Source organism: Homo sapiens, chromosome 9, assembly GCF_000001405.40.
Source record: "Homo sapiens chromosome 9, GRCh38.p14 Primary Assembly".
Lineage (NCBI taxonomy): Eukaryota > Metazoa > Chordata > Mammalia > Primates > Hominidae > Homo > Homo sapiens.
In genome coordinates this window covers 39,943,105-39,965,707 of record NC_000009.12, presented here as the reverse complement: position 1 = coordinate 39,965,707, position 22,603 = coordinate 39,943,105, and the positions used below count along the sequence as shown (strand labels likewise).

The 22,603-nt window shown below is 35.9% G+C and overlaps 2 long non-coding RNA genes across 12 annotated transcripts in view; one reads left to right on the top strand and one right to left on the bottom strand.

Moving 5' to 3' along the window:
* The window catches only part of LOC105376050 (uncharacterized), a 108,520-nt gene that overhangs the window by 38,398 nt on the left and 47,519 nt on the right, over window positions 1-22,603 (bottom strand). For 6 of the 11 annotated variants that reach the window (XR_001746434.2, XR_001746435.2, XR_001746436.2 and 3 more), the window contains 2 exons: window positions 14,356-14,538; window positions 198-9,490 (listed from right to left, as the gene is read on the bottom strand). This is a non-coding gene — a long non-coding RNA (uncharacterized LOC105376050). Of the gene's footprint in view, window positions 1-197; window positions 9,491-14,355; window positions 14,539-22,603 lie in introns of those variants that run through there. The other 5 variants (XR_929617.4, XR_929618.4, XR_007061494.1 and 2 more) reach the window with 3 other exon arrangements.
* LOC124902158 (uncharacterized) lies at window positions 4,647-22,128 on the top strand. Its single transcript, XR_007061495.1, has 2 exons — window positions 4,647-4,734; window positions 12,560-22,128. It is a non-coding gene; the product is annotated as an uncharacterized LOC124902158 (long non-coding RNA).

The window sequence follows — 22,603 nt, the reverse complement described above, 5'->3', positions numbered from 1 at the left end:
AAATTCATAAAATAAGCTATAACAATCAGGTTAAACAACAAAAACAAAAAGCAAAGCGTCTATCAGTAACATGATTGAATAGAAGAGCCGAGAGAGAGTTGTCAGTGGTAAAGGAATAAATATTATCTCATTTGATAGAGTGATTGTATTAGTCCATTTTAACACTGCTGATAAAGACATACCCACGACTGGACAACTTACAAAAGAAAAAGGTTTATTGGACATACAGTTCCACATGGCTGGGGAGGACTCACAATCATGGCAAAAAGGAGCAAGACACATCTTATGTGGGTGGCAGCAGGCAAAAAAAGAGCTTGTGCAGAGAAAATCCTGTTTTTAACACCACTAGATCTTGTGAGACCCATTCACTATTATGAGAACAGCATGGGAAAGACCTGCCCCCATGATTCAGTCTTCTCCCATCAGGTCCCTCCCACTACATACAGAAATTATGGGAGCTAGAAGATGAGATTTGGATGGGGACACAGAGCCAAACCATATCATTTCACTCCAGCCCCTCCCAAATCTCATATCTGCATGTTTCAAAACCAGTCATGCCTTCCCAACAGTCCCCCAAAATGTCAACTCTTTTTAGCATTAACTCAAAAGTCCACAGTCCAAAGTTTCATCTGAGACAAGGCAAGTCCCTTCCACCTATGACCCTGCAAAATCAAAATCAAGTTAGTTACTTCCTAGATACAATGGGGTTATAGGGGTACAGGGATTGGGTAAACGCAGCCATTGCAAATGGGAGAAATTGGCCAAAACAAAGAGGCTACAAGCCCCATGCAATTCTGAAATCCAGAAGGGCAGTCAAATCTAAAGCTCCTTTGACTCCATGTCTCACATCTAGGTCACGCTGAGGCAAGAGGTGGATACCCATGGTCTTGGGCAGTTCCACCCCTCTGGCTCTGCAGGGTACAGTCTCCCTCCTGGCTGCCTTCATGGGCTGGTGTTAAGTGTCTGCAGCTTTTCCACGCACACAGTGCAAGCTGTCAGTGGATCTACACTTCTGGGGTCTGGAAGACGGTGGCCCTCTTCTCACAGCTCCACTAGGTGGTGCCCCAGTAGGGATTCTGTGTGGGGGCTCCCTCCCCACATTTTCCTTCTGCACTGCCCTAGCAGAGGTTCTCCATGAGGACCCCACCTATGTGGCAAACTCCTGCCTCGGCATTCAGGCGTTTCCATACATCTTCTGAAATCTAGGCAGAGGTTCCCAAACCTCAATTCTTGACTTCTGTGCACTTGTAGGCTCAACACCACATGGGAGATGCCAAAGCTTGGGGCTTGCACCCTCTGAAGCCATAGCCTGAGCTCTATGTTGTCCCCTTTCAGCCATAGCTAGAGTTGCTGTGATGCAGGGGATGAAGTCCCTAGGCTGCACACAGCAAAGGAACCCTGGGCCCAGCCCACAAAACCACTTCTTCCTCCTAGGTCTCTGTGCCTGTGATGGGAGAGGCTGAGGTAAAGACCTTTGACATGTCCTGGAGACATTTTCCCCATTATCTTATGCAAATGTCCATAGCTGGCTTGGATTTCTCCTCAGAAAATGGGATTTTCTTTTCTATTGCATTGTCAGGCTGCAAATTTTCCAAATTTTTATGCTCTGCTTCCCTTATAAAACTGAACGCCCTCAACAGCACCGAATTCACATTTTAAGTGCTTTCCTGCTTAGAAATTTCTTCTGCCAGATACCCTAAATCATCTCTCTCAAGTTCAAAGTTCTACAAATCTATAGGGCCAGGCAAAATGCCACCAGTGTCTTTGCTAAAATGTAGCAAGATTCACCTTTACTCCGGTTCCCAACAAGTTCCTTATCACCAGCTGAGACCACTTCAGCCTGGATTTCATTGTCCATATCACTGTCAGCATTTTGTTCAAAGCCATTCAGCAAGTCTCTAGGAAGTTCCAAACTTGGCCACATTTTCCTGTCTTCTTCTGAGTCCTCCAAACTGTTCCAACCTCTGCTTGTTACACAGTTCCAATGTCGTTTCCATATTTTTGGATATGTTTCCACCAGCACCCCACTCTACTGGTAACAATTTACTGTATTAGTTCATTTTCATGCTGCTGATAAAAACATACCTGCAACTGGGCAATTTACGAAAGAAAGTGGTTTGTTGGACTTACAGTTCCACATGGCTGGAGAGGCATCATAATCGTGGTGGAAGGCAAGGAGTAAGCTACATCTTACATGGATGGCAGCAGGCAAAAAAGAGATTGTGTGGAGAAACTCCCATTTTTAACACCATCAGATCTCGTGAGATCCATTCACTATCATGGGAACAGCATGGGACATACGTGCCCTCATGATTCAGACATCTCCCACTGGATCCTTCCCATAACACGTGGAAATTATGGGAGCTACAAGATGAGATTTGGGTGAAGACACAGAACCAACCCATATCAGTGATTATTTAAGATTTTTTGCAGAAGCCTAACTGTTCAAGGAAGGTGTGTGATGGCAAAGAATAAAAGCTACAGATAATGACATGGCATCAGCTTGATTGGATCCATATTTTGTGGGATCTACAGCACATTCAATTTGGCGGTCAGGGTTTGGGGCTCTTTAAGCAAGAATGCAAAACTACAAACTCAAAACTGGAAACTCAAATGCAAATGAGGTGGCCGGAAATGTAAGCCTCATAACTTAGGATAAGAGAACAAAAGCTGATAAACATTTTCTATAAAGGGCACGATAGTAGATACTTTAGGCTTGCAGGCCATATTATTTGTGTTGTAAATATGCAACTTTGCCTTTGTAGTGCTTAAGCAGCTGTAGGCAATATGTAAAGGAATGTCTGTGGCTGAGTTCCTATAAAATTTTATTTATAAAAACCCGTGGCAGCCTGGCTTTGGCTCATTGGCTATAGTTTGCCTACCCCTGGCTTAATAAATCTGCCTCTATTCATAAGTAAGATTCTGCTTGTGTTTTGACTTTGCCATGTGCTCAGGGAAGGTAAGTAAAATTAAAATGTCTAGGAGAAGAAAGTGTAAATAACAACAAATTCCTGTTGGCAACGTATTTATGAATATGGAAGAAGAGATGCCCTCTTATCCTGTGAGATGGAAAGAAAAAAAGCCAAGAATAAATACAAATTAAAGCAAGCAAGTCTAAAATAAGAGAATTAACATTATTCTGGGAAGTAGAAGACAAAGTACTTCTGCTAGGAATGGGAAGACCAAATATGGACTGGAGTATTTGAAAACTCGGTGGATATTTGGAATATCTGTTGTGGACAAAAAAGAGACAGAAAAAAGGAAGAGATCAAAAAGTCAAGTAATTTGAAGTGATTATAGGGAAAAGTGATCTGGACACACAGTTTGTGTCATTCACAAAAGCATCTGACCAAGAGAGTAAACTCTGCCCTGTGGTCAACAGTTACTATTAAAATTTCATCATTCAGATTCAGGGCTTATTTCTAGTTGATACAAAAGTGGAACATTGCCCTACATAATGTTATACTTTTTGTTATTCAGAAATGTTGAAGTTTCTATGCATGAGGTTTTTGTTATTTGACATAATTATTTATTTCACTCATTGTGTTTATCTTATCCAGATTAGATAGAAATTAACCAATTTTAACTTTCTGTCTGTTCTGTATGTTTTAGTAACAAGTAATTCAGGAGTGCATGCAAATGCAACATGAAATGAACAGACGATAAAATAGAGTATATCTGCATAAAGACTTTTCATATGTTATAATAAACAGTATCAAAAACATTATTTGTCTTAAACTGTTTAAAAAATGCCAGTATAAGTCATTTTTAACCTAGTATCAAAATCGTAATCATGTGAAAAGTAAATATTTCTTTAAGTTTTGTAAAATATTTGATGTAGAATATTTAGCTCCAAATTAATTAGGAGAATTTCATAGTGTCTTATAATTAAGCTGCCCTTAAATACACCTGAACCTTCATGCAAACGTCTGTGGTTATTTGTCTCCACATGTTTCAGCAGATGAGGTGATTTGAATGCAGCAAAAAATTTAATAGCTTAAGTTGAAACAGGAATTATCCTAAGGGAATCTGTAGAAATGCATTCAAGAGCAGATGAGCTATATCTATTTCTTTCATGCTTTGGTGTAGTAAGTAATTGTTCATAGCCAAACGCTTTACGAAGATAAATGATTGATATAATGAATGACCCGAAGATGCCCAAGAGCACATGAAAACAGAAATGCCTTTGTTCTGAAGGAGAATGTCTTAGTATAGTTATAAATTGAATGTAAAAATTGTGGCTGAAATTATTCTAAAAATCACAAGAAGCTGCATTTAAACTGTGCTATGGCATCTATTCAAAAGATTTGAAACCATTTGTTTTCTGAATTGCACCCAACATAAAGCTTTCTCACACAGAACAAAACAGAAGTGAGCATCAGTCACACTTCCAACATGCATACATTTTGCTCTAAAGGAACAGCTGTTACTTGATGAAAAGTCGATGAAAGATGCCCAACATTTGTTTTTAAAAAGTTATCACCCAAACAAGAATTGTTTGGAACCAGATGCTAAAATCGAGAGTGGTCTGTTTATTTCAGTTCAGAGTGTTATAAAAATGTTAATAAGGTATTTTTATGTCTATTACCCAGCTATATTTGACTTTCTAATGTGCTTTTTGTTATAATTGGCTGTTGTTTCTATAGGCTGGCATTATTGGCATTAGATCACTGAAGAGTAAATAAAGTGAGCAAGAATACTCTCTTGTCACCAGATTACTGAGGTGTACTGGAGGTAGGTTGAATGGTTTTACAGATGAATTACAGTGAAAACTTTGAAACACTAATAATCTCTTCGGTGTTGAGAAATAACCTACTAATCATTAACTTAATAATTATCAGCTCAACCAGGAAACTACACCACCTAAAAGGTAGTTAATTTTATCACTCCTAGACATCTACAGGAGACCATGATTCTCCATTATGTGAATGCCTTGCTGCCCATGTGATGCCTGCACCCATCAATTCTAAGAAGCTTCAGTCATTTAGTACTTAATATGTAATTTTTAAAAATTACATAAGTAATACCTTCTCCTTATAGAGAACTGAAACTTTCAGAAACAGTTAAAGCCTAATTTGAATATTGCCAAAGCCCTGTCTCTTCTTCAGAGACAACCAGTGTTTCCAGTTTGGTGTGTATTTTCCCCAAATACAGTGAATGTGTGTATAAACACGTGTAGATTTACCTGTCCTAGATATGAGCATTTGCTTTGTGAGTCTGCTTTAAGTCAAGTTCTAAACTATGGCTCAGTTTAAAACTTATCTTTTTCTATTTAATAATATACCTTAGAAGTCATGCCATGATATTAAGATGAATAATAATGAAATTATTAATATTAGTCAAATTTAATTAGTTGCTTATTACGTAGTGGGTACTTGGTGTGATATATGGATTATCTCATTTAATCATCATGACAAGCTAATAAATTGGCAATGCTGTTATCTCCATTTTATGGAAGAGAGAAAAAGATTGTAAGTACTTTGCTCAAGGTCATTTAGAGGGAGAGCAAATTATTCAAATCCAGATATTCTGCTCTCAGAGATTGTATTATTAACTATTATGCCACAATAGAGGCATTGTAGTCTGCATGATAGTCCAACTATTTTTATTTGTAGTTATATATTGATGAATATCTAGAGTATTTTTAAAAATTACAACACAATACTGCAATTGACATTCTTGCATGATTATCTACCATGTATTTCCAAAAGTGGAAAGGCAAACATATGTGTTTAGTTTTTACAGAATGTAGACTATATAACAATTGTACTCCAAAGGAGATCTTGGTTATACATTGATACCAGCATAGTTTGAGCCTACCCTCTTCCCTGTACCCTCAAAACCCTTGTTAACATCTTATGTTTTGCCAGTCTGCTGAAGAAAAAATGGTATCCAATTGTTTAATTCAATTACTTGATTACTAGTGAAGTAAGAATTTTTTTATATTTATCATAATTTGTATTGCCTGTAATCTGAAAGGGTTATTCATATTTTTTTGCCTACTTTTCTATTAAGTCATGTCTCTCTAAGATCTAGCTTAAACGTTACTTTTTCCAAAAAACCTTCCCTGATCTCCCACAACTCAAAACATTATCTTCCTACTTTAGTTTCTTACAATATTTTATCTACATTTCTCTTATAACACCACTTTCTACTTTGTATGATTGTTATTTTAGTACTATCTAATCAGTCCTTTAATTTCCTTTGGGGACTATTTTATGGTGATTAATCCTTATGACACATATTGTCCACATTTTTTGGACAAAATTCTTCAATGAAGATTGATAATTAAAATTAATAAAAATTAAATTAATTAAAAATTTAATTAACTTAGCTTTTAATTTTTTAATTATCATATAGGCCACCTACTGAGATATACAATTTTTGGTCTAAAGTATTACTTTGAAACAATTATAAGAAAACAATTATAAGAAAAAAAATTTTTATTATTCTAAGATCCTTCGGATTGGAAAGTTGCTTGTTCTATATAACAAGATTTACTCTTTCCATATATTCTAGGATAAATTCATCATCTCTCTAAAAATTTCCTAATTTTTGTCATTCAGAAAAATAGCCAATTCCTGTCCTTCATTAAATTTTAATGAATAATCAGTCAATTATAAAACTCTTGAAAAATTCATATTAAAAAGGAAACATTTATATTATTAAAAAATAATAATTACAAAATGCCCATATAAATATTATTTAGGGCCAGGCACACTGGCTCACACCTGTAATCCCAGAACTTTGGGAGGCTGAGGTGGGCAAATCACTTGAGCCCAGGGTTTGAGACCGGCCTGGGCAACATGACAAAACCCTGTCTCTACAAAAAATTTAAATATTAATCAGATGCGGTGGTGTGCGCCTATAATCCCAGCTACTCAGGATGTTGAGGTGGGAGTGATGGGGTGGGAGTGAAAGGGAAGGGAGGCAGGGAAATTCTGGGCAAAAGAGGGCAGGTCCCTGGCAACGGCTCCACCCTCAAGCCTGGAACCAAAGCCCAAAGTGAGAACATACATTCCTGTTTTCCCACTCAAATGTTGCCTTTTACAAAATTACCCATGACCTCCCCTGTCCCCCATCCTGTGCCCATAAAAACCCCAGACTCAGCTAGCAAAAAAGAGAAGCAGCTGAACATCAAAAGAGAAGCAGCAGCTGGGCATCAGAGACTACGGTTGGACGTTGGAGAGAAGCAGCTTGATTTCAGAGAGACAGCTTGACAGTGCAACTTTGGAGAAGAGTCCAGCCAGAAACCTTCCTGCTACATCTCCTTCCCAGCTGCCCTTCCTGCTGAGAGCCACTTTCCTTGGCAATAAAATCCTCTGCATTTACCATCCTTCAATTCGTTTCTGTGAGCTGATTTTTTCCTGGATGCCAAACAAGAGCTCAGGAGTGAGTGTGGATACAAAAAGGCATGCTGAGCTGCTAACACTTCAGCTGTCTGAAGACGGCAGAGCTAAAGGAGCACTGTAATATGCCCACTGGGGCTTCAGGAATCACAGGCACCCCCCTAACCCCAGGGGCTGCTATGGGGCCCACATGGAGTTTGCTCCTGCCAACACCCCAAAGCTCTCTTCCTGGCTCCTGTACCTGCTCACCTGCATGCTCTCTCCTGCAAGAGGTGGAACACAGCAGGTCAGAGTGGGTGAGTTCACTCCTTCTGGCACCAAAGAGGCCACTGGTTCCAGCACTCGTGTACTCCAGTTCCTGCCTTGTTCAATTGCGCACTCCCTCCCTTGAGGAGTTGAGAGCAGTGGGCTGAGTAAATGGGGCACCCCTGTCACGAGTCCCATGAAGGGGTCAGGGAAATGCCCTGCTTCAGGAGGATCTCTTGAGCCCAGGAGGTGAAGGATGCACTGAGCCAAGATCGTGCAACTGAACTCTGGCCTGGGTGACAGAGTGAGACTCTGTCTCAAAATAAATAAATAAATAATTTAATTAATTAAATTTAGCTTATTCTTTTGAACTTCATTCTTCATAGTGTTATAAAATACATGATTTAAGACAGTGAGAAAGAGAGAGAAGCCAATGATGGACTTCTAATAGAATTCAGAGTGGGACTTGTTTGAACATTTCAACCAAATAAAAGATTCCTGCAATTAGTTGACTCTTCAGTCCACCTCAGTTTTAAACATGTCTCAGGTTGCCCTTAACCAACGAGTATAGTTTACTTTGGGCTGATAAATTCTGTGGATGGCAAGAGGTTGTGAATATCCCTTTATAAACCCAGAACTAATGCTACATATCCCTGGCATTAGTGCCTTATTTATCTAAACTTACAAATATATTGGGCAAAATTCCGGGATATGGGCACAGAATTAATAATTGAATACCTTATTTTGTATGGTCATTTGCTCACTGACAAAGATAGAGAAGCAGCTGAAATTCATGATTATGATCCCTAGTTACATCTCTCTTTAAGTCCTTATGTTTGGTTCCCTGGGAGTTTCAGCGCATTTATATAGCAGCACCCAAGTTTTTATAATCTGTTAAGTATTACTATCTAGGATTAGCTACTGAAGAATCAAGAACTGGTAGTTGATGAACTTGAAAGACAATTATCCTATATAGTGTTTCTTGAGGACACTAATTTCTTAAGATAGAATGAGAGGAAAACATAATATCCACAAACAGAAATAAATTTTGGAATATTATATGCTTTAGCTTCCTCTTGGATATTTACAAAAATATTAGCATATTAACGATTACAGAATGAAGAAACCTTTTTAGCTACATTTAAACTAGTCCTAGAGTTTGGATATATTTCCTCCAAATTCATGTTTAAGTTTAATCCTCAAAGTGATGAGGAAGTGGGGCCTTTGGAGGCAATTAAGTCATGATGGCTATGCACTCATGAATGAGATTAATATCCTAATTAAGGAAGCTTCTGAGAGCTTCCTGGCTCTTCCATTTCTTCTGCCATGTGACAACATGGCATTTGTCCATTTTGTCCCTTTGCTTTTCCTACCATGTGATTAAGTCATGCAAAATGACATCTGTGAAACAGGCCCTCATCAGACAATGAATATGTTGGTGCCATAATCTTGAACTTCCCAACTCCTGAACTTTCAGAAATACATTTCTGTAATCATAAATTACCCAGTTTGTGGTATTTGTTATAAGACCAGGAACAGACTAAAACAGCAAATGCTTTCCCCCATCCCTGACTACTTTCAGAATGTTTAAGAGTTGTCCATACCGTTTCTTATGGCAATTATGAGGCAGATATTTTTCAGGAAAGTGGCATGCATATATGTGAATTTTTTTAGAGGAGTTGAAAAACAAAACAAAACACTTGTTTGGCAATGTTCATTCCTCACAGAATCAGTGCTATTCATTTTGGAAAATATCTTAGTATCCTGCTTGTTGCCTTATTAGTTGTTTTTCTCTCATTGCAATCAGCTGTTGCCATGTACCTTTTGCATTTGGTGGTCAGGGTCTTCGGAATCGTATGAATCTGATATCAAATCCCAGTTGTATTGCTGACTAGCTGTGAAAAAAGATTTTAAACTTATTATTTTCAGTTTACTCGTTTATTAAGTACCAATATTAATATTGAAACTAGAGAAATAGATTAAATGGCATACTTGTATAGTAATTGTTACATAGGAAAACTCTCAATAAATCAATGCTGTTATTATTACCATTAATATTCCCTAGATGTGAAGATTGTCTTCAGAGGAAACATACTGGAAAAAAAAAATGAGTTTTACAGAAGTTTTTCAGCAGAAGTTGATTGGTTTTACATACACACACACACACACATGCACATATATTTACACACATATAAATATGTATATTTTATATATATATATGCACACACATTTGTTTCTATTTAAAATGAAAAAAGTACGTTAGTCATGTGTGCCCAATTTTCTGATACACTAAAAAATGGAAATATCTTGGCAGACACTATTGATAGGCTATGCAAATGTAAACTTCTCTTGCCTAGTTTTTTATTTGGAAAGTAAAATATCCATGTTTCTTGGTGTGGCCATGTGAATTTTGTGACATTGAAATGGATATCATAAGATAGGTTCCTAAGAAAGCCTTTAAAAAAGCACAAACTTGGCCTGCATGGCTTTGGCCTTTTGCCCCTTTGCCCTTTGCTGCTTCAGCCTTTCCTATTTTTCTTGGCTGCAATATGAGCAATCATGTCTCAGGGTGCTACAGGCATCAAGCTATCTTATATCATACCTCTTTCTAAGGAAATGCTATTAATGTCCCTGCATGTGTATAACAAATCTTCAGCGTCCCTGTGAGGCTGCTCTTCTTATCCTGTCCTGGCTTGTACTTTCTTTTGTAGAAGTAAGTAAACATCTTGCCTGTGAAAACTGCTTTTAGTTGCACCCTGTATTCCTTATAGCTAAACCCTATCTACCTGAAACCTATATTGATACTTAAGCCATATATTTAGTTTGGAGACCAGATTAAATTTAGAGTTCCATTAATTCCATAATAAATATTTTTGAGTGGCTAGTATGGGTAATGTGATATTTAAGCTACTGGTATAGTGTGGTAAACTGAAGATATGACCTGAAATGTTTGTAACTTATATGATAATAAGTGGAGAGAGCTGAAAATTAGGTAAATAAATAGATAACCACAGATTTTGATCTGTTATACAAATACGATAAATATGGCAGAAAGGACTGTAAGCTAAGGAGTAGAGTAAGAGAAAGCAATTATAAAGATTGGCAACTAAATGTTATCTAACAAGTGATACTTAAAGGCTGAGATACTTTAAACTATAAGACACAGTTTTGTAAAAATCTTGGAAATTGTGTTTTTTAAGTTAATGGTGCAATTTATCTAATGTGTAAATACAAGTGCTGGTTTGTTGAAGGAGCAGAAAAAAAAAGATTAGTTTGAGTATGGGGAAAGAGAAGGAGATTGGAGAGAGGTTTAAGAACTAAGCATATGCCAGTTTATATAGAGTTTATGTAACAAAGAAGAGATTTTTTGTGCATCAGGTTGTATTGTTGCATAATACTATACCCCAAACTTACTGGTATAAAATAGTAAACTTGTATTATGCTCACAGGTTCTGTGGGTCAGGAATTTAGAAACAGGCACAGTGGGCATGCCCCTTTTCTGCACCTCAATGATGAGGCCTCAGCTGGGAAGATTTACATGTCTGGATGCAACTCAAATAGCTGAGGGCTAGGACAGCTTGGACTGGAGTGTCCACTTCCAAAATTGCTTTTTATGCCCATATCTGGCACTTGGCCTTGTGTATTTGAAGCTAGGAATGAACTGGGATTGTCAACCAGAACTCCTATTCGTGGTCTATCCTCATGGTTTGGGTTTCTCCCAGCCTGGCAATACTGGGGCCCTCCTGAGATGGAGGAGTCTGAAAAAAAGTGAGCAGAAGTCAGATTGTCGATTTAGGCCAGGTCTCAAAAGTTACACAGCATTGATTTTTTTTGTATTCTCTTAGTCAAAGAAGTTAAAAGTCCTCCCAGATTCAAGGTCAGAGACCCCAGTCCCCACATCTCAATGAAATGACAGTTGAAGAACTCTGAGGAGATATTTTATAACCATTACATTATATCAAATGAAAAAAGGTGATTTTTTAATGTCATTTAATTTGTCCCACAATATTGACTTTTTACTCTTCTCCATGTCCTGATACTCATAATATTCCTCATTTTTCTCCATTAAACTCCATCTTTCAGGGACACTTCTAATACATTATTTTATACTAAATTGTAAACTAGAATTAATTTTTGAAGTATTGCCACTTGCAGGGGGATGTATATTTAATTTACGGAATTATAAATCTAGACAATAATGTACATTGTTAGGATTTTCTATCAGAATTATTTTAATTAATAAATGTTACCTTTAAATTTTTTTAAATCATCCTTTTTTAAGCATTTATTCAGTCGGGACTTTCAGTTCATGTACTTTCCTCTAAATTAAAATCAGATATCATTTGTAGAATTTTATGCAATGACTAAGATGGTTTTTTGGGAGATGATATTTATTACCAAATTTTCTGAAAATATGTAGTATTTGCATTATGTCATGATTTCTTATATTACAATAGTTTTTTTAAAAAAATTTCAATAACATTAAAATTATTTCTAAATACATCTTAATTTAAAGTAGTTAATTTTAAAATATTTAGTCATTTACTTATAGAATTTAATTTAAATTACCGAGGTGTGTGCATGAGATCAAATAATTATTCCACATTTGCAGTATTTCACAGTGTTTTGTTCTATTTATAATTCGTGTTCCTTCTATGTGTGGAAAAAAAAATAAGGCTTGTCATGTTCATAACAAAATGTTAAAACCTTTAAGAAAGAATGGAAACTACAACAGAATATTTCTAATTTCAGTTGTACTCCATGTCTGCCATTATACAGATTGTTTAGAGAATCTCCCAAATTACATTCCATATAAAAAGAAATTGAGTGTCAGTGTATCAAACAGAACCATTTTAAACAGTCATGCGAGATGGACAGAGGAGGTATAATAATATGGGCCCTGAAGTGTTACAGTATGATAGAGTCATAGTTTTATGATAGTTTTTTTTCACTTTAATTTCCAGGAACAATCATGAAGTTTAAGAAGAAAGAATACTGTCAGAAAAGAGGCAATTTTTTTTATATTTAAAAAGTTCCCTTTTTCCAGTCTATTCATTTTTATGCATCAACTCTCATTTTATCTTGACAATTTCATAATAACTATATTTACCTTTATTTTTTATCCATATGCATTTCATTTAAAAGTGAAAACTTTCACTCAAAATGTAAAAAGAACTTATAGAATTTGCCTCCAAAGAGCTCTACTAGTCTGTCTTTCCTATTTCATCCAATGTTACGACTACAATTCCCATCTATCAAACACAGCAGTCAATTGGTAAGTCATTTATGTCTCTTTTTATACTATTTTTCATGAAGTTTCTTTATTTTCCAGTTCTATTGTATGTCACCTCAAATATCCATACAACACATTATTTTAATCTCCTTCCCTCTAAGCATTCCTGTTCCACTTAATCTAACACAATGTTCTCAAAGATATGACAAAGTGCAACTCTGTTAAAAAAGCTTCAAAGACTTTCCACTGAACTGAACAGAATTAGAATAGATGATTATTTCAGTCATGTGTTGGTATATAACAAAATACCCCAATCACCTATTCTTCCTCCTCTTAAAGTCAATGTATTATTAAAACGTCCAACTTCCTTTTATGAAATATTTCACACATACCCAAAACTGAAAAATAATTGATACAGCAACATAACCAGAAACAAGATTATAAGAAATTCTACAAGGGATAACTACAGGCTAAAATTGTTTAGCATCCCCTTGTATATTTCTCTATTTTTAAGTACAGGTCTGTGTATAGAATATTTTATACCGTATATGGTAGTGTTTGTATCTTCAAATTTAAATAAGATGTTATTGTTTTCTCTGTATTATTTCAACACATGCTTTATAATCTCACTATGATATTTTTGAGAACCATTCCAGCTGATACTTGGGTATCTGTTTTTGTTTAATTTCTATATGGGATTTCATTATATATATAATATAAAGCTATCAATTTTCATATCAGGAAATATTGGCATTTTTATATTTACCATTGTAAATGTTAAAAACAAAGCTACAATAAATACTTATTGTTTTGTTGTTTATATATATTAGAATTTTCATAGGATACACATAGAGCAGGGAAATTTTACAACTTTGGGCACTTTCATCCTTACATTGTCAAGTAGCTTTCCAAAGTCGTTGTATGAATTTATCTTCCCACTATATAATTGTTAGAGTTCCTGTTTTCTAATAGCCTCATCAAAGAGGAGAATTTCTCAAGTATTAAGCAGTAAAGTAAAAAAAAAGTCATCGTTCTACAAATTCAATTTTACTAAATAAAATATATTTTATATTTTCTTTAAAAGTGATACAAGATGTCTTTCACATTTGAAGTTAATGTGATGATAGAATACAATTTACAATTTTTCTATATGTTAATCAAATGTATCACTGCTATTTTATGAATAGTTATTCATTTTTCTGGGTGATACGACAATTCATATGTAAAATATCGAAAGTCTACCATGAATTTTTGAATTTCCTGCTATAGTCCAGTGAACAAATTGTTCATCTCTGAGTCAATGCCGCACTATCATAATGACTATAATTCATAATCAATTCTTATTGAATATCTGCTCAGTGCCAGTATATGAGTTTGCTGGATCTGTTATGACAAATTACCACAAACCTAAATGTTTAAAGCAAAAGAAATATATTCTCTTACAGTTCTGTAGGGCAGAAATCTGAAATAAAGGTATAGATAGGCCCACTTTCCTTCTCAAGTGTTTATGGGTGGATCCTACTTTACCTCTTTCAGCTGCTGGTGGCTCAAGGCATTCTTTGGTTTGTAGCTGCATAACTCCAATCTCTGCTTCCATCCTCAAGTAGCCTTCTTCTATTTCCTGTATCTTCTCCTCTTCTGTCTTTCATAAGAACACTTATTGGATTTAGGGTGCACTAGGATCATCCAGTATGACGTCATCTCAAGATCCTTATTAATATATACAAAAAAATTAGGTCACATCTACAGTTTCTGTGGGCTAGCATATGGAAAGATATGTGCATATTTATCATATTTTGGGAGGCACCATTGAATCTACTAGAGACAAACATCTACATTTAGGATATTAAAGAAAAAAATCCTTGCCTTTGTAAAGATTACAGTGAGATGTAGGATGACACAAAAGAAATAAAATATAGACAGGTGTTGAAAAGTTATATATTTTGTGAAGAAAATAAAGTAAGGCAGGATACACAGTAATAGTGGCAGATTACAATTTTAATTAATGTATTCAGTAAGTAACATTGTAAAAATAGCATTGAAATAAACACATCAAAAGGCTGAGGGAAGAAAAAGAATATAGTTTTTCTCTACATCCCAAATTACTTCTGATTGAATGTTTTTACTGGGATCTGTTTCTGGGAGAGACTAAGAGAGTGACTAACTTTGGATAGATTCTGAATGTAGAGCAAGCAGAAAGACTCGCTGAAAGGTGGGATGTGCAATTCTTGACAAAGAAAATAAGTAGGATTGACTCTAAGATTTTTGCTTTGAGACAAATGGTCGTAGGTGAGAATGTGCATTTCAAAGTTGAGATGTTTATTAGCTTCTCAAAAGAAGACAGCATAAGAAGTTGGATGTAAGAGCCTGGCATTTAGAAGAGAAGTAAGAGGTAGAGGTACAAATTTGCAAGTTCTTAGCATAAACAATATTGTAAACCATGGCTCTGTGAGAACTCATCAAGGGAGTGGGGGTGGACACAGAAGTGTTCCAAAGACTAAGAAATAGCATACAAAGACATAAGAAGAAAGCCAAGAGGACGTGTTCTGGAAGCCAAAGAAAAAAAGCTGGGTTTTTTTGTTTGTTTGTTTATGTGTTTTTGTTTGTTTGTTTTTTAATTAAAGAAAAAGAGACTACTGATAGATCAATAAAATGAGAATAAAAAATTAACCTTTAAATTTTGGAACATGAAAATAATTAGTGATTTGAAAGGAACATTTAATTGAAATGGTCAATACTTTTCTAGTATTTTAATTGTAACTCATGCCTCACTTTGTTACCCAGGTTGGACTGGACTCCTGGCCTCACATTTTCAAATAATTAATGCTTATTTAGATTTACCCTTACATTTAACAGGTTTACAGTTGCCACTTGCTTCTCACACTTGTCTTTTTTAGTGTTTTCTTTTTTCTTTCTTTGTTACTTTAAAAAGGGTTGTTCAATGAATCCATGAGTGCGCTTTCTTAAAATTTTGTAGACCCAAAAAGTCTCAGCACTGTGTATAGTATTCTATCTTGCACTGTATATTTTGCATTTGGAACTTGGTATGCCATTGCATTATTGTATTAGTTTTTCAGTGAACTAGCTTCTTTTTAAAATATTCACCAAATCAGTGTTCTTTCTAGTTTGGATTTATTTTTATCAATTCTGTTCAGAACTTGTCCAATTCCTGAATGTGAAAATTTTTTTTCTTTAATGACTTATAGAAAATTTCCAGTTATTACCTCTAGATATTGCCTCAATACCATCTTAAATGCACCCAAAGTATCTAATATAATAATAATTTTTGTCCATCTTGCTCTATATTGATAACTTTATTTCTCTGTGATATATATTTATTATATTAATTTTAATCATCCATATCTCATAGGTTTTTAAATTCAATTACTATATTTTTATTTTTGGATATCCTTTGCCAAATCTGCTCTTCATTTCTTTTTAAATGTCTTTAGTGTTTATGTATGTTCATTACATATTATTAATTTTATAATTTTTTTCAAATTATTCATCTATTTTTACACATACTTTTAATTCTGCTGTTTTACATCTGCTGACTCTTATTGCTGGTTTTTTGTTTTTTTTTTTTGAGACAGAGTCTCACTTTGTTGCCCAAGCTGGGTTGCAATGGTGCAATATCAGCTTGCTGCAACTTCCGCCTCCCAGGTTCAAGCAATTCTCCTATTTCAGCCTCCCAAATATCTGGGATTATAGGCGCCTGCCACCATGCCTGGCTAATTTTTTGTATTTTTAGTAGAGACGGGGTTTTGCCATGTTGGCCTGGCTGGTCCTGAACTCCTGACCTCAGGTGATCCACCCGCCTCAGCCTCTGAAATTGTTGGGATTACGGGCGTGAGCCACCGCGCCTGGCATGTATATCATTTTTCATTGTGTATTTTGTAATTTTTGTTTGTGAATTTATTTTTAATATAGTTTTCAATTTAACTTGTTAGTTTCTGTAGTGGCAAATCCTTGTGTTTGCAATATTGGATTATTTCTCCATAAGAGTTTCACATTTCTTCTGCTAGGAAATCCATGGGGAATATTGGAATTGGGCTAGTTTTTATTTTATTTCTAATGTTTAAAGTTTCTGAAAAATATTGGCGTCAAAAAATTCTACTTCAATCCTGAGTAAAGAATAAAGTGCTAGTGACAAATTCCCAGTTGTGTTTTCCTTTCTTAATATTTGAGAGCCACAGCAAATGTTGCATACCCTTTGATGTTAAGCAGAAACTTTTGTCTAGACATTGACTTCAGGCTTTAAAATATGTAGTATCTCCCCCAGATTAAAGGTAACTAGTCCCTGATTTCTATTAAAATATAATTTTTAGAAGCTTAAAATCATAGCTTTCAGACAAATATAAAATGAATAGGTTTTAAAGATATTAACTTGAATTAATAAATAACAAATAGATGTTTTAAATGACACAAAGGGAATCTGAGAAACTGGGACATTTAGAAGCAATTTAGCAAAATAACATTAAGATTGCTTGGTTAAATAAATAAATATAGATTGATATATAACAGTGTCATAAATCTGTGAGGTTATCTGTTCTACTAAGGAGATATATTTGTATCTTTACAGGAAAAAAAAATTCATGGTGCAAAATCCCTTTACTAAATCTGGTACCTTTAATTATTATTGTATAGCACTTAAGTATAGGAACTTGAATATAGCCAATATATTCCTAAAGATCTAAATTACTCTCCAAATAAAATGCTTTTTGTACATAATTTTTTCTATTCCCATTAATTATCTTTCACAGTTTTATTTTGTTTTGATTTTTTCATTTGTTCCTTCCCCCTCCCCTTGGCATTCAGTTAATTCTTCTATTTTATTTCCCAAACAGGCACATTATCATTAAATGTAATGGTTGGCTGAATCATAACCACATTTAAATATTGCTCTGTTTTGCCATTTGTTTTTCTTCCTTCTTTCTTTCCTTTCTTCGTTCTTGCTTTTCTTGGCAAGCTTATGAAGTTTTATTTGTGTAATTGCTACACAAAGAAACTTCATTGTGTTTGTATTTGCCCTTCAATTGGATCATAAATGCCTTGGTGGCAATGAATGTACATAGCTATTTCTGCATCCTAAGTAGCATATATGTAGGTTTTGAATACAGGATTGATAAATGTTTGTCTTGTGAAATTAAAATAATTACTGATGTCTACATATTGTTTCCAGCTTGCTTCTCTGTTGTTTCCTCTTTAGATATGCTAGATAACCACTTCAATATGATTCTTCTTATGTAAAACCTCATATATTCTCAAAAGTATTATGTATGCATTCAACTAACTGTACATCTACAGTACAGTAAAAAATGAGATTGTAGTAAGTGAAAATGCATTTATAAGTATAGGCAAATTTTTAGGCAAGACACCTCATAAAGATCACTTTAGAAATTAGATCAAGTAAAAATAAGTCACAAAAAGAAACGTGAATTAGTCATCTTAAACATTGTTTTAGGCAGTAAAACAACATTGAAAAAAGAGGATCTTGTAAAGCCTGATACTTGATTCCTATAGGATAACTGAATCAAATCAGGTGTTTTAGAGGTAATGGTCACCTGATTGTTTTCTCTTGAGTTTTTTCATATAATAGGTGCAGTGGTTCTTGCAATGAGGAATTTTTTTATGGAAATGTGAAATAAAGTACAGAAATTCCTAATGAAAACCTGTCTTTTAAGTGGATCTCTAAATTCTAAGAAAGTGCTTATATTATCTTAGTTATTTAGCTATTAGCCTGTCAATCATTAGGAAAGTAAGAGCAATTTACAAAGCATCTACCACTGTGCTAGTACTTGCTCACATGTTCTCATCCACCTAAGGGAATATTCAAAGCATCTTAATAGTTGCTACTAATTCATATAATTTAATTAATAGAATAGCAAATACATTCTCATCTTATTTCACATTTTTAACATACACAAGATATAGCTATTTTATAGTGATTAGGTTTAGTAAAAATAACACTGATAAAACTCAACTGTTAGCATGTACAGTTTTAGGCTACGTATTTTTCAAAACAACAAAATATAATTTTTTTAGACTCAACTTGAAATTTTGTAAAAAATAAAGTTTCAGAAATAGTAAACTATCACAGAACAAGAAGCATAATAGAAAGTAGAAATTGTTTTACTATAAAAAATACTATAAATAAAAGGGCTAAATGTTTCTTAATATTCGTATACTGATACCAAATATTAGATGCCTTGAGTCACTAAATTAAATTGTCCCTAAATATTACATTTATTATTTAAAATGTTAATGTTGCTTACAAACCTCAACAGATATTTTTGCCAACTTATAGATGGGAGAATTTAAAAAGATGTTGGTGTTTTTAAAAATAGCTTTTAGAAAAGCAACAAAGTGATTTTATGTCTGGAGGTGAAGACCCTTGGAGGAATTTTTCTCATGGACTGTCAAAATATATACCCAAACCATAAGTGGATGTCTGAATAATAACTCATTTACTTTTATTTGATTTGTCAGGTTTTATTTTTCAAAACAAGAGTCAGAATAAGTGATGTCTTTTAGTTGGACTTGTTTCTATTGTTTATTAACATATCCAAGGAACACGTAGAATGAATTGGCAGAATATAATCATATTATCAAATAATTATTAGTTTAGTCAGTTTCATAAACCTAGATAATCAAATGAAAATACATAATAATATAATTATGTCATAATTTTTATCAAAATTTTAAAATTAATGAATTAAATCCAGCTACCAAAGATAAGGGTTTGTGAAAAGTAGATACAATACTAGAGTGGAGGTTGTAATGAAAACTCAGAATGGGCTATAGTATTAAAAAAAAATAAAGACCTCCAGTATTTTTTTTTCTCAAAATGGCAGATTAGAGTCATTGTTAGCATGCCTCTCCTATTTGGAAAGACAGAATTGTGTGTGGAGATTCACACTGTAAATTTTTTCCAAGAAGCAACACAGAAAATTAACAGGAAAACTGAAAGAAAGCACAGACTTTTTGAAAGAAGTGTCAGGTTGCTGTCTAAAATCATGAGCCAGGAGGAAAACTTTAAGTCCCTAGAATGTCAGATAGGGATAAACTGCCTCTAGGACATATACTCCTACTGGGGAACCAAGCAATCCAGGCCACAGGGAAAGGCCTTAATCCCACCCAGCGCTGGAGCTGATTTAGTGAGCAGTGGGGCATATATGAGAAGTAGCAGCATGGGGACGGGCTTAGTGTGCATGCCCAGCAGGACAGAGGAAAGCCATCCCTGATCCTATCTCACAGGGGACCTCACAGAAGTCAGCCAGGTAACTCAGGCAGTGGTCACAGGTTGAGAGAAGCTCTCAACTGAGATTCGTGATATAATCTCGAGTGGAGACAAACCCCCTTGGTCAGAACCATGGGGCAGATGGGAAATGTGCTGCAGCCATAGGTGCAAGAGCTGGGTGCCCCTGCTTCATGGGCCAACTAGGAGAGGCGTGACCTGGAAGCCATGGTTGCAGTCTCTTCTGGGAAGTCTTATGCCCTTGGGCAGTGTTGAGTTCTGAGTGTTGACTGCTTGGAACCAAGCTGCTGCGAGTGGGACACTGCAGGTGCAAGACCTGCTTTGCCAAGTGTGTGGGAGCTGAGTGGGGCTAACTGCTGCCTGCTGCTCCCTATTCCTCATACAGATGCTTCTCTGCAGCAGAGGCAGCTGTGGTACTCCCTGCAACATTACTCCTACAGCCAGAGGACCACTATCTGATCCCCACTGGGGACAGTGCTTTTGCCCACACATGGCAGACAAAAGAGAGCTAGAATGTGAACTTGCCTGATTCAGCCCCCAGCTGGCTTTGCCCCTCCATCTGCCCTGGTAGCTTAACACAAAGAATAGAAAATTTTGAGAGCTCAATGGCCCTGCCCATTGCCTGAGTCATCAGCTTACCTCCCCTGCGTAACATAAGGCAAGCACAAATCCCACTGCTACCAGCTGGTGCTCTTTTTCAAGTGCCACCTTGTGGCTGGAGGCCTACTGACACAATCCATTACAGCATCTGCAGGCACACTAACAGTGCACAGGAAAGAGAAAACTTGTGTGTGACCTAAGCTGTCACCTTTGCCTATATAACCTTGGCTTACTAGGAGGTCCTGAGTCTGTCCATGCGACCAGTTCATCACTACTACAGGTGGCATTACAGAAAAACCAATGCACCAAGACTACTTATAATCAAGAAATCTCACAGAGTCTATGTCATTCTCCTGTCACCCCCATGAGAGCTGTTGTTGCTACTCACTACAGAGTCTTGAGAACAGGTCACATCACTGGACCCCTTGTAGACATTCCCCAGCACCAACCTGGAGTGTGGCAGTCCCACTAGGTGGCTAGAGCCAGAGAAGTAGCAGCATTCATACTAGTCTGGCCCTCAGGGACTCCTACTCTTAGGATAAGGGGGAGTGCACATCAGTGGCACACCCCATGGAAAAAAGAATCTAGATGGCAGGACTTGAGTCCAGAACTTCCCACCTGTGGAAAGTTTCTTTCAGTAGAGGCACAGGTACAGTGCTGGACTTGGGAAAATCTACAGAACGGTCTTGAAGAAAAAGATTTCCCCCCTCATTCACCACTGCAGACACAGCTGGTGCTTCTCTTATGGGAATTTAGCATGAGTGGACCTGTAGATAGCCTTTCTGGAACACTTCAAGTTAACTGCGTCCCCAGAGGAGGAGTCCCCTCCAGATTCAGATTTGCATAAGGCATAGAATCACAATCTCTCTCTACTTGGAACATGAGAATTCCTGCAAATAAAAAGGGCCTGCTAATCTGAATAGCTAGAACTGTATTTAGGAGTGTGACCTGCTTTCCTGGGGGCCTGGCAAGGGAGCTGAAGTGGCTCCCTCCCTTCCCCGTGAAAAGACCTCAGTGCATTTCACTAAGAGCTCCCACAGATGCCTTGGTCAAGGCTTGGGCTTCTTCCCACCATTGGGTATTGCATTTACCAATCTGCTGGTTTTCACTCAGGGACACCTCCCCTACTGGCCTGAAATCTGAATTATTCAACCAGGTAAAGAAAACACTGGGAGAAAAAAAAAGGCAAAAAAGTGCACACCACTTGGGAACTAGATAAGCTTCATGAGACCTCTGCCATTGCTACCCCACAGGAAACAGTGAACCTCCACACACACACTGAGCATAATGTTACCACAACTAGCATCTGAGAAAGCCAACATACAAACATTTTAAATAACCAGGGAACTTATACAGTCTTCACCCCTGAAAGCACCCAGAGCTGAATTAGGTTACAATAAACTATAAACATTAAAGTCACATCCTCAAAGTGAAAAAAAAAAGTGAAAAATCACAGTCAAATCAAAAAATAAATTCAAAAATAATTAGAAGATATAGTCTCAAAAGTAATTAGAAGATATACTCTATCCAAATGAGAAGAAACCAGAAAAATAATTCCGGCAATAGGACAAAATAGGGTTCTATAACACCTCAAAAAGAACACACTAAGTCCCCAGCAATGGATCCCAACCAAGATGAAATCTTTGAAATGCCAGAAAAAGAATTCAAAGAAATAAGCAAAGTCTCTTAGAAATAGGTGACTATGTAAAATGGCCAAATATAGCAATTGCTGTTCCTAAGGGAGAAGAAACAGCAAAACTTTTTGAATACTTATTTGAGGGCATAATTGAAGAAAACTTTGCTAGCCTTGCTAGATATTTAGATGTCCAAATACAAGAAACTCAATGAGCTCTGGGGAGGTTCACTGCAAAACTGACATTACAAAGCCATATAGTAATCAAGCTATCTAAAGTCAAC